This window comes from Homo sapiens, chromosome 1, assembly GCF_000001405.40.
Source record: "Homo sapiens chromosome 1, GRCh38.p14 Primary Assembly".
Taxonomy (NCBI): Eukaryota; Metazoa; Chordata; class Mammalia; order Primates; family Hominidae; genus Homo; species Homo sapiens.
Window position 1 is genome coordinate 50171298 of NC_000001.11, and position 16763 is coordinate 50188060.

A 16763-nucleotide genomic window follows, 5' to 3' on the forward strand; every position below is an offset into this window, starting at 1 on the left:
AGACACTCTGCTGGACACTTAAACTTGGGCCAGTCCCTGTAGAGAGAAAGTGTGAACTGAGATATCCAACAGACTGGAGTTCATTCAAATCCTAGCCTCAGAGCCTACTTGCTGGTTGACTTCAGACAGATTATTTAACATTTCTCAAGCCTCACTTTCCTTATCTGCACAGTAGGCCTGATGATACCCATTTCACACAGAATTAAATGAGGTAACATTAATAAGCCACTTAGCACAGTGCCTGGCACAAAGTAGGCACTGAATAAATTGTAGCTGCTATTAGTCCCCATGTTAATATAATCTTCACAGTGATACTTTGATTGTGAGAATTAAGGGATTATCTCTGTTTTTTCCAGATAAGAGAGCATACTGATAAAGCTTAAATGACTTAACCAAGGTTATACAGCAAGTAGTTTTGAACCACACACACATTGATACATGCAGTAACAACCATTCATCTGACCCTTTCTTGGGTGTGTTTGGGTAGATTTAAGCCTGCTGAAAGCAAGAAAGACCTCTCAGAATGGGCAGTGAAGGAGTCCCAGGATATGGAGTTGGCTGCAATTAACCTAGTATGTGGATTACTGCCATGCAGGTAATTTTGAGGTGACTGGGGATTTTATCATGCACTTTCAGAACAGGATTTCAGCCTGAACTAGGGGTTCTAACTTCCATAAAAATTCCTTACTCAACTCAGAAGTTTTCAACAGCAGCTACCCATCTGGCTGCCTCCTCAGGGGCTTTGTAGATGAGGGGAGTAACTGTTCGGTTTCTGGAGAATGATGGTTTTTAAAAAGCGAAAGAGCAAGGTGTGCAGATTGGCAGTGCAGAAATGCTGAGGTTCTTTCTGGCCAGCTTCTCTACTGCAGCCATCAACCATAAGGATGTCAGGATCAGAATAATCTCCAGGATCCTAAAGGCAAGGAAAAGCTACGTCTATCCAGAATGGCTGGGAAAATAAGGGGTTATAACCAGCTATGCTCTCAACACTTTCTAGAGATTAAATATAACAAAAATGCTTAACACAAACTACTGGAGATAATTTACTCTTTCACAGCAGATTCAAAAAGCCTCTGATACATTTCAGGGTCTCAGAATCATTGTTATTATAATAACATTTTAGTTCAAATGGAGTAACTAGTTGTGGCAGAGAGTACAGGATTTGAAGTCAAATGATCTAGATCGGAAGATAACAATCTACAGCTCATGGGCCAAATTGGGCCACTACTGCCTGTTTTTCTAGAAAAAGTTCTATTGGAACACAGCTACACTCATTTGTTTACATACTGTCTATGGCTGCTACACAATGGCAGAGTTGTCAGGGACCCTAAGACCTACCAAGCCTAAACTACTTACTGTCTTGCCCTATACATAAAAAAGTTTTCTAACCCCTGATCCAGACTATGATCTAGCTCTGTGATCTTAGGCAAATCACCATTTTCTCTGAACTTCAATATCCACATCTATAAAATGATAATTATCTCTCAAACAGGGTTGTTGAGAGAATCAAATGCATAGAAGGATGGGAAAGCATTTTGTAAACTCAGAATCTCTGTGGAAAGGTGGATAAGGGTGATTTTTGTTGTTCATCTGATCTGTGCCAGAGGAGAACCTACCCAGGACATTTCTTGTTTGTGTTTTGTTTTCCAGCCCCCGGAGTCAGTTTATTGTTGTGTCCTCTCTTTCTCACAAATGCAAAATTAATTCCCTGGGTACCCCCTCTTTTCCCCCTCTTCCCCCAAACTTACCAAACATTCTGGTTATATGCTTTCAGTAATGGAGGACTGGTACAAATGCATACATCCATTCTTTCATTTATCAAGCATTTGTTGATGACTTACTATGTGCAAGGATAGAAACTTTTATGAGCTAGTTATTATGGGAAGATGTGTTTTGTTTCTAAGGGGAAAAGTTGGATATACAAATTATTATAACAGAATAAAGATGTTGCCATGTCATAGTAGGAGGAGACATTGTGTATTTGTGTGTGTGCCTATGTGCCTATGCTTTATAAAAACAGAAATATTGAAGTTCAGATTTAAGAGCAGCTTGTTAAAAACAAAAACCTGTTTAATTCAAAATACTCTGAAGTGCTTTAAAGTGTAGCCATTATGTATAGCAGTTTTCTCTTGGAAAGTACATTCTGAATTATAAGTTTCCATCTCAAACTGCCAAGAATGCATTTCCTGCCCATGCATGATAACTGGTGACCATTCACACATGCCTGCTGGACAGGATTATTAGGGACTGGTCACAGTAAGGGTTGTAGGTCACCTGGGCACCAAGGGGCCAAATGCTCACTATAGTTTCTAAATTTTGGAGGCAGTCTTAATTTCATATCTCATTTTTTAATAAAGAGGATTCAATAAATGTAACTTTGATGATTTCCTTTTTATTTGTTCAACTTCCCATCAAAATAGACTCATAAATTGGGAACAAAAATACAGCTTGTTTTAATTTTCTGTTCTGAAAATACTGTTGCCATCCCTATGTTCTCAAATCTTGCTACTGCTGATAAAGGGAGAAGATGTAGCCATTTGGAAAAAAAAAGAAAGAGTAATAAAAAGATATTATTTCTGGAATACAGATACAGATACACTAGCTCTGGGCTCCAGACTGGATCCCTCAGGCCCTCCCAGCATAGCATTTCTCTTGGTCCCCATAGAAAAAGTGTTGCTATTTTTTGTGAATGCGTTTCATCTATTTTTTTCTAGGTACACTTAGCATACAGAACTGCAAATATAAAACCCATCACCAATATATGGCCACCAAAATTAAAACATAAAATTTTTCCTCATTTTACTCTCCCTTACTACTGAAATAGTTTCTAAAAGAAGTAAAGCTTGGGTTTTTTTATTTTCTACATAGAGATTTAATCCTCTACAGGACATGTTAAAAGAGAATGCTTAGATCCATAGAGTGCTTTTTATTAGACTTAGCTGAACTCCTATGATGGTGAGAAGCATGTTAAGAAAACCTGTTCATGAACTAGGCTAACCACAGGTAGTTTCATTGTGGTACCAGACTATCTCATATCTTTCAATTCACAGGCAAGTTTTTCTGCCTCTGTCCTCCTCTTGTTCTATGCAATGTTCTGTTTTAGAGCTTGAAGTTCATTATTTCATATCAAGGAGAATCATCATCATTTTTCCTCTTCCTTTCTGAAATGATGTTCATCTGTTTTTTGTTTGTTTTTTTTTTTTTCATTTTCCCAAAAGCACCCTCATTCTTGATGTTAAATGCAGTCTCTCTCTAAAGTTAGAGCAGGTGATAACACAGTTGTGCTAATTGCAGTCAGGAACTAAGGTGATGGTGGATTTGGGACTGATAGAAGCAGGTGGCTTGACATGATACATCTTGCTGGGCAGGGCTCCTTTCCCTCATTTGACCTTCAGAATCTTCCTAGGACTTGAATGTATTTTCCTTCCTCCAGAAGCAAAGGTCTAAAACAAAAATAAAATATAGAATGTGAAAATTATGCCCATTATATTTATTTTAGATTTTCATCAATATATGAGTAATTTTAGAAAGATGGATAGTGTGTCAGGAGCATGTACCACTCGTAAGCATGATTCCTCCACATATATTCCATCAGTATAAATAAATCAAGTACTACTCCAATGTGAGTTAGGTCTAATTTTTGCTGTTAAGTGGTGTTTTGTTTATATTTTTCATAATTTATTTTAATTTTACGCAAATTAAATTGGGCTGGATAGATTGACCATCTGACCAGTTTCCTAGAACTTATGCATAAGGTTTATCATTGAGATAATTGTTTTAAAAATATCCTTTAAAAGCAGCTCAACTTGGTGAATGTTTTTAAAAAGTGATTATAAGAATACTTTTGTACAGCAATTTTTAAAGCTTCTCATATATGCAAGGTAAATATGACTGAGAAATTTGCATGATGAAAATGTATTTAATTAGGTGAATTATTTAGCTAGGTTTGATGAGGTGACACCAAATTTCGGATAAATGATATTTTTAAACCAATGAAATTGGTCTCTGTATTTTTGTATTTGCAAAATGAAATTTCTGGGAACATATGGCAGGGTCTTGTAATTCACCTCCCCCTGCCCCCACCACACGTACACACACACACACACACACACACACACACACACACGCCACTCACACACCATACTTACACAGTGAGATGGAAAGAGAAGGGTCCCAGCAGCTGGAGTGCACCCAGCATTCTCTCCTTCCTCTTCAGTTACTAATCCTGGCTGGTGAAGGGCATGTCTGGTAAAGTTTGCCCCTGTCTTTCTTCTTCTCACCCTGTTCTTCCAAAACAAAGGAATATCCTAATGGAAGTGTCATTTTGGGTTTTCCATTTGGGGTCAAATGCCATTGAGCTTTCTTGTGATTCTCTTTGCTCCATCCTATAACAAAGTCACCCATTTTCTCATCCAGAACCCAACTTGTTTTCCCAGGTTTCCTCCTACAACCAACACAAACACAGACATTTACCAGCAAAACAGAAGCTGTTGGAAAGATTTTTTGGCCGCTGAAATGGGCTCCTGTCACCAGGACATGGCAGGCTTTTTGCTGTATTATCTCCCAGCCCTGGCCCCCGTACTCCAAAGAGAGCTTTATGTAATCAGTCTTTGCTGACATGTGACGTCCTGTCATTTTCCTCCCCTTCGGCTCTGCTGCCGCCCACAAATCAATAACATTGCTTGGGAAGTTCAGGCTGGTTTTGCAGCCACCCCAAGCTCTGTGTTTCTTAAAGGGTATGTCAGAAAATGTAAAGTTTCCTAATGATATTTCTGGCTGATGACACATGGCAGAGCTGATGGACTATTTATAATCAGTGGCACGATTGCAAGCACATTATTTTTATTTCACTTGGGGGGAGCCCTGTCACTTGCTACCTCTCTTTGCAGACAAGTTGATGCCATCTCCACCTAAAGTAGCTAAATCCTCTTTTCAGAGTTTATTTGCACTCTTAGCTTTGTGTTAGGAGCTCCCCAGCTCTTTCCAGTAGAAACCCCCTCTCCTTTTTCTTTATTGTTCTTTGGCTCAGGGAATGATGAGGGTAAAGAATGATTTGTAGCAACTGCTTTGAATTCTAGCCATGCCTGCATCCTTAACTATACACATCTCCAGTCTTTGCTACTCAAGTCTTGCTACATCCCTCTGAATGTGGGTGTGGCTGGCATGACCGAGGCAATAGACACTGCTACTGTGTCCAGCACTTGCCTCAATTTTACAGGCCTGAGCAGAGCATAGCTGTCTTTTGTTGAGCACCTACTCCAATCTAGACAATGTACTTGGTAGGCATTTTATACACAATCTCTCACTCTCTCAAACCTACCTGAGGTAAGTGCTGTTATCTCCAGAACAGAGATTGGAGGTGGGAGGGGGAGAGAGATTAAATTACTTCCTTACAAAGTCGCACAGCTGATAGGGAAAGCTCTAGGACTCCAGTTTAAGTCTCTTCTGACAAACCACACCTGTTCTCTTTCCGCTACCATGTCCTGCCTCTTCCTGATTATGTGGACACTTGTGTATCTCTTGTGTGGCTGTGCAGGGGCACTTACCCAGTTTTAGCTTGCACAGCTCCTAAAGTTTAATAGCCAATGAGAGTGAGAGTTGGAGGAATTGGAAACCTCTCAATCTGGGGGTAAACCCTGGTGTAAGAGGAACTGTATACCAAAGGAGAGTTTTGACTCACTGCAGTGGGAAGTGTTGCCTCTATAAAGATACTGAGCATGCTCTCTCTCTCTCTCTTTCTCTCTGTCTGTCTCTCTCTCCCTTTCTCTCTCTCTTTTTAATATTTCCACAGGACAGAGTTTAGGGTATGGATTTGTTAACTATATTGATCCAAAGGATGCAGAGAAAGCCATCAACACTTTAAATGGACTCAGACTCCAGACCAAAACCATAAAGGTAAGAGGTGATGTGCTGGCTCCTGATTCAGGAGGCTCTGGTTAAATTTCATTCTGTTGATCTGGTAAATCCAGGCTATGTGGGGGCTGGAAGCAGTGTTCTTGATTTATTCAAAGAACATTTACCATCCACTATACTAAATGGGAGACACAGAGTGTTACAGAAGAGTGAGGTGAGGGTTGAGTAGAGGGAAGGGACCACAAGCTGTGAGACCTCCAATTAAGAGGGCAGATGGGATATTTGGGATTCAAGACCCCACAAAGAGGGCCTGTGAGCCTGAGTCTGCAAAGATGGCCAGAGCTGAGCCAAGGGAAAAGGCTGAGGCCAGGAAGCTGTTCCAGGCAGAGGAAACAGCACATGCAAAGCTGTGAAAATGTAAGACGTTGTGAGCAGGGACAGCATATAAATAGTGTGGCCTAAGTTTGGATGGGAAGGTGAAAAGATGAGGATGGGAGGTGGCAGGGCCAAATCAGGAGGCTTTGTGTGCCAGGCTGCAGCTTGGCTTTACCTAAGGGTGGTTAGGACCCTCCTAATCGAGACTCGAAAAGGGAGCATCAGTTATAAATAAACGCACCAGTGTAATAGGGATGGGTACTATAATAAAATTGATGAGAACATAGTATGGGAATGACAGAAAAAGTAACATTTCAGCAATCTGAAAATAATTAGGTGGGTAGATAATATCTCAGGAAGGGTTGTTTTAAGTCAAAAAAGAAAAACAGTAACCCAGAGCCTGCTCCTCTAGAAGGAGGTTTAAGTTTCTGTCACTGGATAGTCATACTCTGGGTCCAGACTTCACCTATGGGATCCTTCAGGAGGTAGTGCTGTTTGCCTTGGGGGATTCCCTTGGGCAGCCGGTGGTGGTCTAGTGGATGGAGCCTGCCTCCTCCTCGGCCTTCCTTCCCTTTCTTCCCCTACCTCCAGGCAGCGTCCTGCTTAGGGGCAGCTGCCAGCCAATTAATGAGTCCCCATCTTTCATAGCCTATTAAACTGCAGGGAAGTGTCTCCTGGGCGCTCTTATCCTCACGACAGCAGGTCTGACGCAAAGTAGGACAAAAGAGAAACCTCTCCCAGAATGGAAATCTATAGATGGCACCAGCTCTCAGCATCTGAAAACACAAAACCAGAACTTTTTAGTCCAACAAAGCTACTTTTCCAACATCCAGCCTGATAGAGGAGACTACTGGTATAAGATAATCTTAGCTGGAAGGTAATCAAAACAAAAACAAAGCAAAACCTTTCTCTTTTTAGAATATGTGATTATCTTTCTTTCTTTTTTAAGCAGCTTTACTTTTGCAATTGAGTTTAGCTTATTTCTAAAGATGATTGCTTTCCCTGATCTCATACAGCCTGATACACAAAGATCCCAAAATGGACCTGATTCAGGCTCCTCAGTCTAGGCTTAGAATCATTTCCTATGAGTTCTCTAATGAGGAAATAATCAAGAGTTGTTTAATTATGGGGTAGTCCTCTGAGAGGCAGGAGGATTAATTTCTTTCAAAGTAAAAACATACCTATTTTCATGCTTTAAGTAAAGACGGATGCTCATGTCACCTGACTCTTTGATGAGGCCACACTAGACTGAGAGCTGTATTTGTAGGTTTGATTGATTTTCTGTGCTATCCAGTTCAGCATTAGAATGTCAGATGTCTACTCTTCCCTTGACAGACACCCTGACCTTGAACTGAAAAAGGTACTTTTCTTTACAGTTTTCTTGAAACCCCAACTCTTCTCCAGGGGCTTAGGATCAAATAATCAACTTTCCATTTTGCTTTTTTTTTTTTAAGTATTCCATAAGGCCACTGTGGTTCCCCAAAGACTGAGTAGACCTGGCTTTTCTGGTCTCAGATGTACCCCCTAGCCCATCATGCCATCAGATGCTTTATCTAAGTGGATCTTAGAGACAAGGATCATTGATTATTTTCTTTCTGTAAAGAGTCAGTCTGCCTCCTTCCGTTATCTATATTCCTTTCCCCACCCCCTCACCCACCCTGTATCAAAACGCTGCCAACACATTTGCACCCAGCGGTAATGTGGGCTTCTGAGACACTGTAGGATTCAAAATGCACGATGCCATGGCTGAATCAATAATTTCCATTCTCCTCTACAAATGAAAATTTAATGTGCAAACCTGGGGACTTCAGCCCTTTCATTAAAGCAGTTTATTTGCTGTACTAAAAATTAAGTTTGAGTGATAGGTTCCTTTATTAACTTTTCTTCCCTTTTCTAAAGGGACACAATGTTTAAGGTAAAAATCATATTAAAGGAAAGAAAAAAGCAAACCCCTTTTGTATGCTGTTTAATAGTCTCATCATTTATTAATTTTTTTAAATTGCTTTTTTGTCTTTCAGGCCACTGTTTACCTCTGCTTCAGTTTGCTTTGATAAGTGACATGAGATCTATCTCTTTGCTCTGACTCCCATGAAGGAATAGTTAACTTGCCTATCTGGAAAAAAACCAAGTATCTTCTTTGGAAGCGTACATTACAGAGGTCTCAGGACCATCTAGTACATGTTTGTGAACTTTGGTCAAATTTCCCCCTCCTTTTCAAATTTCTGGAGTGCAAAACACTCTACTTTAAATGTTATGCACAAAGTAGGTTCAGGCAAATCAATAGTTAATTCCAAAGCTGTGAAGGTTAATGATTAACAGCTGGATTCAGGGAAGGTTCTGGAAAGCTCTAAGGCATCGGTGGAGACTGTAGTGAGCTGTAAAGAAGACAGCTATTCTGCTGCTGCTGCTAACTGTTTAAACCCAGATTGTTGCCAGATCTACCAGTTGTCCAATACACATGAAAATCTAGATTTTTTTCCTGCCAATCTCCCAATTTTTAAAAGCTAGAAAATAACTCAAAGAATTTTAAGAATTATGTAGGTGGGCCAAACAGAACTTAATAGTTGACCTTTTGACAGGCAGTTTGCAAACCACCCCCCAACCCACCCCCACCAAAAAAAAAATGAACTCAAATTTAAATATGAAAACATCGTTTTGCCAATTGGTAGTGAATGGCTCATTACAGGTCCACTACAGGCTGAGCATCCCAAATTGGAAAATCTGAAACCCAAAATGCTCCAAAATTTGAAACTTTTTGAGCACCTACATGACACTCAAAGGAAATGCTCATTGGTGCATTTTAGATTTCAAGTTTTTGGATTAAGGATGTTGAATCAGTATAATGCAAATATTCCAAAATCTAAAATTTGTGGTCCCATTTCTGATAAGGGATACTCAACCTGTACTAGGAGGTACCCACAAATGATGGTTCCCAGTCAACAAATATCCATTTCCCTTTTATTAGGGGCAGTGTTACATGACTCTGTGTGAATACTGACAGCATTCAGAGAGCAATCTGACCTCTGTTCTCCAGAAGCATGCAATCTAGGCATCGGCACAGCACCAAAGCAGAGAAAGAGCATGATGTGTAATTAAGCTTCCAATGCATAGTGTGGATGGTGACTCCAGGGGAATTGTTCTTTGGGTTATAACTTCTTTAGTGGGAGAAAGTTCCCACCACACATCTTGGAGATCAGGCTCAGAGACACTAAGTGACTTGTCCAAAGCCATACAACAGGCCAGCAGTGGAGCTCAAGTTAGCTTCAAAAGGGCCTCTGAAGGATTCTGCCAGAAGAGGAGCTGCTTAATATGTTAGCATGAGCTTGAAATAATAATAATAAAGATTAATAGTAATGCTAATTTATAGTGAGTATTCACTCTGTATCCAATACTATTATAACCCTTTTACATGCTTAATATCATTTCATCTTTGAAATATCCCTGGAGCTAGGTGCTTTACACACATCAACTCTAATTCTTAAAATAGCCCTGTCAGGAGGTACTATTACCTCCTTTATACAGGTGAGGAAACTGAGGCCCAAGGAGGCTTAGAGACACACCCAGGATGACACAATTGATAAGCAAGACTTGGAGTAAGAAAAAATGTTCTAAAAATAACTCTCTGGCAGTAGGTCGTAAGTGTTGGAATGTCACACTGCCTGCTTGCTCAGCAACACGTGCATTCTGTGAGGGTGTGTGGGTGTGTATTTGGCTCTGTGCACACATGGGTTATACTCTCTGGCATGGGAAGGAGAATAAAAAGCAAACAAATGAATTGTGTGTCTCCTCCAGGTTCTTTAGTAAACAGACATGGCTCAGGGCTTCTGCTATCAACCTAGGGACAGACCTGACTTCATTTCTTCTTGGGTCCCTGCTTTCCAGGCTCTGTGCTAGGTCCTCGGATTTAGGTGAATCAGAAATGACAGTGCCCTAGAGATTCTTCCATCCATGTGAGTCAGAGAGCTATGGAGTATGGACCATGGGCTTACATTCACTAGCCTGCCAGAGCAGCCTGGAACCCCACTTAGGAAACTGGGTCATTGTTCAGTGTTTCAGCCCTGAGCCCAGCCCAGTGGAGATGACTTGCCTCATGTAGGAGTTTGGGATGCTATTTGTTTAGCTTTGTTTTTGGTTTGTGTGTATGTGTGTGTTTGTTTTGTTTTGTTTTGTTTTTTTAGACAGAGTTTCACTCTTGTTGCCCAGGCTGGAACGCAATGGTGCGATCTGGGCTCACAGCAACCTCTGCCTCCTGGGTTCAAGCAATTCTCCTGCCTCAGCCTCTGGGGTAGCTGGGATTACAGGCATGCACTACCACGCCCGGCTAATTTTGTATTTTTAGTAGAGACAGGGTTTCTCCGTGTTGGTCAGTCTGGTTGCGAACTCCTGACCTCAGGTGATCCACCCGCCTCAGCCTCCCAAAGTGCTGGGATTACAGGCGTGAGCCACCGCGCCCGGCTAGCTTTGTTTTTAAAAGTCGTCTCCAATAGGGATCATTTTAGACTCTGCAAATGGCTGTGGATTCTGAAAAATTATTCCTGGTACTCCTTGACCCCACACCTGATGCCTGTCCCAGGCCTGACCTTCTGTTGGGCTCCAAAAGAACAGCTTCTGAATTTACATTGTAATTTTATCCTTTTACTAAGAACTGCTTCAGTGAAGTTGCATTTGGTCCAGCTCTGTCACATTAATCAGGAACAAAGAAAATTAGTACCTTCAAAAGAGAAATACGTTTACCAAAGTTTTGGATTGATGTTCAAATTACATTGAGAACCTTCAGTAAAAAGTGATCCAAAATGGAATGTGAGGGTTTGGTATCACACCCACTAAACCTTTCAGAGTGTTGGGACACCTGTTTGCGTTTTGACCTAAATGTCAGGAGTAGGATTAAACAAGCGTTCACTGCTGGCTCTGCCTCCAGAAGCTCCTGTCTCATGGGGGACACAGACATGCAAAGGACCAACTCTAAAGCAGTGGGACAGGGCAGTCATGGGGCTGCAGAGGTTTCTGTTTGATATTGGGGTTGGGGAGATAGGGAGCTGTGCAAGGTTTGAGTGAGCAAAAGATCTGATCAAAGTAAAGTTCCAAGAAAGTTCATCTGTCAACGACGTGCCACATAGAATGTTTGACAGATGAAACCAGAGCTTGCAGGCTGCTGTGGTAGGTTTTTGTCAGCCTTAGACATTGGTTTTCATCAGCTCTATTAGGAGCCTTATCCACTCATTTTTAAAGCAAAACATGCTTCTTTGTAAATAATTTGGTATGTACAGAATCATATCGTGAAGGCAATATCAGCCATTCCTAAGCCAACAGTGTTAACATTTTTATATATTTATATATTTCCATCCTTTTTTTTTTTTAAATTAAGACAGGGTCTCGCTTGGGAGTGCAGTGGTGCAATTCCAGCTCACCATAACCTCCACCTCCCGGGATCAAGCAATTCTCCTGCCTCAGCCTCCCGAGTAGCTGGGATTACAGGCACCTGCCACCACGCCCGGCTGATTTTTGTATTTTTAGTAGAGACAGGGTTTCATCATGTTGGCCAGGCTGGTCTCAAACTCCTGACCTCAAGTGATCTGCCCACCTTGGCCTCCCAAAGTGCTGGGATTACGGGTGTGAGCCACTGCGCCCGGCCGATTTCCATCCTTTTTTTATTGTATTATATGTGCACAAATGACTTAGTGACTTACCTTTTTCTAATAATTATATTAAGCTATTACCCAAAGGATTAAAATATGATTTTAAATGAAATATTTCCAGAGGACAGGTATTGTGAGTGATTGCAGCACTGGATCTGGGATGAAGGGGTAAAAGAGCTGCTCCTGCCACTCTGAGCAAATCTATGAGAGTTAGCACTCAGGCAGGCAGCCGGTGAGAGAATAAGAAAGACACTTAGCCATGAGGCAGTGGCCCAATTCTGGAGGGAGCAGGAGTAGAGAAGGGGAAGGTGTGTGAGGGAAGGCTTTTCAGAAGGAAACACCTTCCTTCTCTGGGAAGGAGAGTGAGCTCCTTCATTTCCACCTCTTCCTGTTGTGATGCTGCTTAACCACTTCTCCATTTTCGCTTTATTCTTCTAATACCACTAACAGTGCCTCCGGGGGTCTTTCCACACTTGAGCTTTGCAGGTTCCAGTTTGCCCCTCCCACTTCTTTCTCTTGCCAGGGGTCGTCAGGGAGCTGCGCCTCCCCCTCTCCTCCCTGCATCCACCTGCCTTGCTAAGGGCCTCCATTCCGCTGAGGCATCTTTTCTTTGCATTCGGCATAAGCAATTATTTCTCCTATCACTGCTCTTAATGCTTCCTGGAGAGTTAGCAGATCATTTTTTGCTGATGGATATCACCCCACACAGAAATGATGGACTGCCTCCCTCAGTCTTGTTAATAGTAAAAAGGCATTTTCTCTCCTCCTCCATTACCGCTAGTCACAACCTGGGCGAGAATGCTTCTCTGCCAAGGTCAGCAGGGGCGGCTGGATCACTGAATCCCCAGGGAGCCAAGAGAGAGCACGTGGCAATGCCAGCAGAAACCAGAGACACGTTTACCCCAGTTGTGCTAGCAGCCCTCTCTTGTGGGAGATTTTATTTGGCTGCTCTGCTTCCCAGTGCCCTGTTCACTTCCTTTGAGTGAATAATTTCAAATACAAGGATAGGAGTTGGAGAAATGGAAATACAATTCCCCTCTTCTCTCTGCTCAGTGAAGGTGATACGTTCCCAGTATCTTGAAGTTCATTCATAGTGTCCTGTGTCCACATCTAAAAAGGAAATTAGACCGGTATGGGTTGGGAAGGCACAGGTTTTCAGAAGTACATGGAATGGGGTCTGGGGGCTTTAGCTGTCTTCAAGTGTAAAAGAAGCCAACAATGTGATGTGAGCTGCTTCAAAAAAAAAAAAAAAATCAGCACAACTTTAGTTGTGTTGGGAGAATTATGGACTCCATATCACAGAAAATAGTGGTCCTTTCTTGTCCACTCTGGTCAGCCCATCCTAGTGTCTTATGTCCCATTCTCGGCTTCATATTTTAAAAGATTGTCTAAAGGTGAATGACAAAGATGGGAAAGAAGTCTCTGCACCCACCCACAGATTCACCTCACAATGGTTGCTTTTCTATTCTCTAGGAAAGAAAATTCTGCAGTGACCCTGAGGCATTAGTTTGATCCTATATTTCAAGAATCTGGGAAGAGAACCTGTGTAGCTATCAGAGTAGAATGTTTGCCTTGGGTGGTAATGAGGCTCCGATCATCGGAAGCATTCAGATGAACTCATAAGGGATGATGTAGACAGGATTTCAGTCCCACAGTGGAGTCTGACTAAATGATCCTAAAGGTCCCTTCTAGCTCTAAGATGCTATAATTTTGTGTTATTTCTGATTGTAGAGCTGCTCTGTCCAGCATAGTAGCCACTAGCAATATATGGCTATTTATATTTGAATTTAAATTAATTAAAATTTAATAAAATTCAAAGTTCAGTTTCTTAGTCACACTAGGCATGTTTGAAGTGCTCAGTAGCCACTTGTAGCTAATGGCTACCTATATTAGACAGCACAGATAGAGAACATTTTCCTGATCCCAGAAAATTCTGTGGGACAGTGCTGGCCTAAAACATCAGTGGCCCTGCGGATTAAAGACTCATTTCTCCATGGTGCTCCTGCAGCCTCTGGGCAGGATGGCTGGTCTGTCAGTGATCATAGAGCACCACACTCCTCTTCCTTCTCCCCTTTTGTCCATTCAAAAGAGCTCTGAGTTCAGATGGAAAGTCAAGTTCCAGCTCTGTCAAAAACTGCTAAGGATGACCTTGGGCAACTTACTTTACTTCTTTGGACTGGTTTCCTCATCTGCAAAATGATTTTTTCCAGTTCCAACAGTATAACTAACAAATTATAGTGTGATCTTTCTGGCTTGGTAACCTTTCAGGGAAAGTAACAGTTTGTGCCAAGCACACGGCTTTTATTTCACTGTCTGGATTAGTGTGCCATAGTGGAAACATCCCAGAACATGGAATTATATCCCAGTTTGTCTCTTAGTTCAGCTGTGTGACCTTGGATAAGTACTTGATCTCACTGAGCCAGAGTTTGTCATCTGGAAAATGGAACTAATGATATCTTACTTGTAGGGAATCGTAGCTTACAGTGGATGCTCAAGAAATGCTCCCCAGGATGAAGATGATGGTGAATGGTGCTATCCCTAAAGTGAACATTACATGAGGAGAGGGGGGGACTTTTTTCCATCTACATGTTTCAGTGATGAGTAAGGGAGTAAAGAATGAGTCTGAATTTTACTAAGATTCGGGCAACATATATAAAAAGCTTTGTATAGGGGAAAGTATTATGAAGCTTCCAGCTGGCCACAGTAATCGTATCAGTCTTTTATAAAGCAGGAGCCAGGAGTTGCAGTCTAGTGAAGAGACTGAATCTGGGGCCCTGAGCCCAAGACCAGATATTCCACTAACCAGGCCATGAGACCTTTACACAGCTCTCCCTTCTGAAGGCCACTAGATAGACAGAGAGAACTTAGTACGTACTAAGTATGCCTCTTTGATAATTTGATAGATATTTTAAAAGAAGTTGCAAGACACATGAATCTATCGTCACATCTTTTCTATTCTTTAAAAGAAATACTTGTCTGGCCTACTAGGTGCCAGACACCCTTATGATATTCGTAGATACCCTTTAACTGCATGATTCTTTCTGGCTTCTTCATCACATCAGAGTCAGCTCTTAGAAAAGAAGCTAAAATCCGCGGCATAAAGTATATGATACATTTCATTTCACTTGAGAGAGCATTTTTTTTTGAGCTCTTGCCCTGATAAAGCTTTGAGACTAGGTGCCACAGGGGTCTATGGAGATCACCAGAATGCTCAGACTCATAGGGCAGGTAAGGTGTTATCACACTTGTAGTGCCTGGGATCTGGGATCAGGATGCCTGTAGTGGGAGGTAGGGTAAGTGTAACTATTGCCACTGAAATATACTGCTGTGTATCTTCTGTGGAGTCAAAGGAGAGGAGAGTCATTTGTGCCTGGGACTCGTGGAGGAGGTGGCATTCAGTATGGGCTTAGAAAGATGGGCAGGAGTTTATTCTGCCATGATGGTGAACAAACAGCAAAACAAAGACATAGAAATAGAAATTTTCTGGACATATTCAGAAAACTGTGACATGTTTTTGTCTGAACTGGAGCATAGGGTGCATGAAGGGGTTGGCAGGAGATGAGAGGTTGGGCCAGATTCCAGAGGGCTTTGAATGCCCAGGTAAGGGGTTTAGACTCCCATCACAAAATGGCACAATCGGAACTCATTAGAACCATTTCCATGAAGTTTCACCTCTGATAAAATAGCACGTATCAGGTGGCAGGTAGGGGAAGTGTAAAGAGTGGTGCTACATAAGCAGATGCCTGTCCTGCCTGTGAACAGGCCTACAGCCACAGGCACAGAGGTAAACTGATCCTCACAATCAAAGCTGCGGTTTCCAGGAACCAGTTGGCTTCTTTCTTCTGTCCCTGCTCCTAGAGGTGGGATTGTAGGTCCTTGAGAGGATTTGTTCCTAGAAGGCCCTGGCAGCATCAGAATCTGTTCCCTGATTCCATTCTCCTCATCTCCCCAGGGACTTGTCTGCTCTGGGGAGTTTGTATGCACTCAGAGAAAAGGGTGTTACAACAGATTGGGGAAAATCTGCAGCCTGATCTTCTGAAATGATTGGTTTGTGTGTGTGTGTCTCCTCTGCTAGACTAATAGTCCTACATGTCAGGGACTGTTGTATTCATCTCTACACCCTTGGTGTCTAGCATAAGGCCTGATTATACAGCAAGTGTATCAAAGCCATTGTTTATTGAGCATTTACTGTGTGCCAGGCATTGTGCCTAGAAGTCTTAAATGCATTTTCTTGTTTAACCCTCAAACAGCTCTGTAACAGAGCTTCTAAACTATGTATTCAAGTGATGCAGCTCAGAAAGGTTAAGTGACTCACCCCATAGTCACACAGCTAATAACGGTCAGGTTTCAAGTCCACATCTCTCCAACCCCAAAGCACTTGCTCTTAATTGCTGCCTCCTTTTCATTCTAGAGCAGGTGCTCACTTTCAGTTAAAGTAACATAAACAAGAACTTCTTTGGAGTGATTTGTCTCAAAATATAGTTACCCAATACTCTAACTAGCACCTATCAATGAGACCCATAGGATAAGGGGTGGTAAGGACAGAAAAGATGGCCCTGGGGTGTGAAGCTAGAATAATAATAGAAGAATGGAAGCTACAGGGGAGACAGATGTGAACTCAGTAGAAGGAAAAACTTTTCAACAATTAATGAGGCTGGGCATGGTGGCTCTCATCTGTAATCCCAGCACTTTGAGAGGCTGAGACGAGCAGATCATCTGAGGTCAGGAGTTCGAGACCAACCTGGCCAACATAGTGAAATCCCTTCTCTACTAAAAATATAAAATTAGCTGGGCATGGTGGCGCATGCCTGTAATCACAGCTACTTGGGAGGCTGAGGCAAGAGAATTGCTTGAACTCAGGAGGCAGAGGTTGCAGTGAGCCAAGATGGTGCCACTGCA

At 42.0% G+C, this 16763-nt stretch overlaps 1 protein-coding gene and 1 long non-coding RNA gene across 30 annotated transcripts in view; one reads left to right on the top strand and one right to left on the bottom strand.

Moving 5' to 3' along the window:
- Positions 1-16763, top strand: part of ELAVL4 (ELAV like RNA binding protein 4) — a 155718-nt gene that overhangs the window by 123243 nt on the left and 15712 nt on the right. For 22 of the 29 annotated variants that reach the window (NM_001324208.2, NM_001144777.3, NM_001438736.1 and 19 more), the window contains one exon: positions 5792-5895. In NM_001324208.2, the coding sequence (NP_001311137.1) occupies positions 5792-5895 (104 nt within the window). Of the gene's footprint in view, positions 1-5791; positions 5896-8246; positions 10004-16763 lie in introns of those variants that run through there. The other 7 variants (NR_136725.2, NM_001438739.1, NM_001438740.1 and 4 more) reach the window with 1 other exon arrangement.
- ELAVL4-AS1 (ELAVL4 antisense RNA 1) lies at positions 2377-4573 on the bottom strand. Its single transcript, XR_001738045.2, has 2 exons — positions 4149-4573; positions 2377-3443 (listed from the first exon to the last, which is right to left on the bottom strand). It is a non-coding gene; the product is annotated as an ELAVL4 antisense RNA 1 (long non-coding RNA).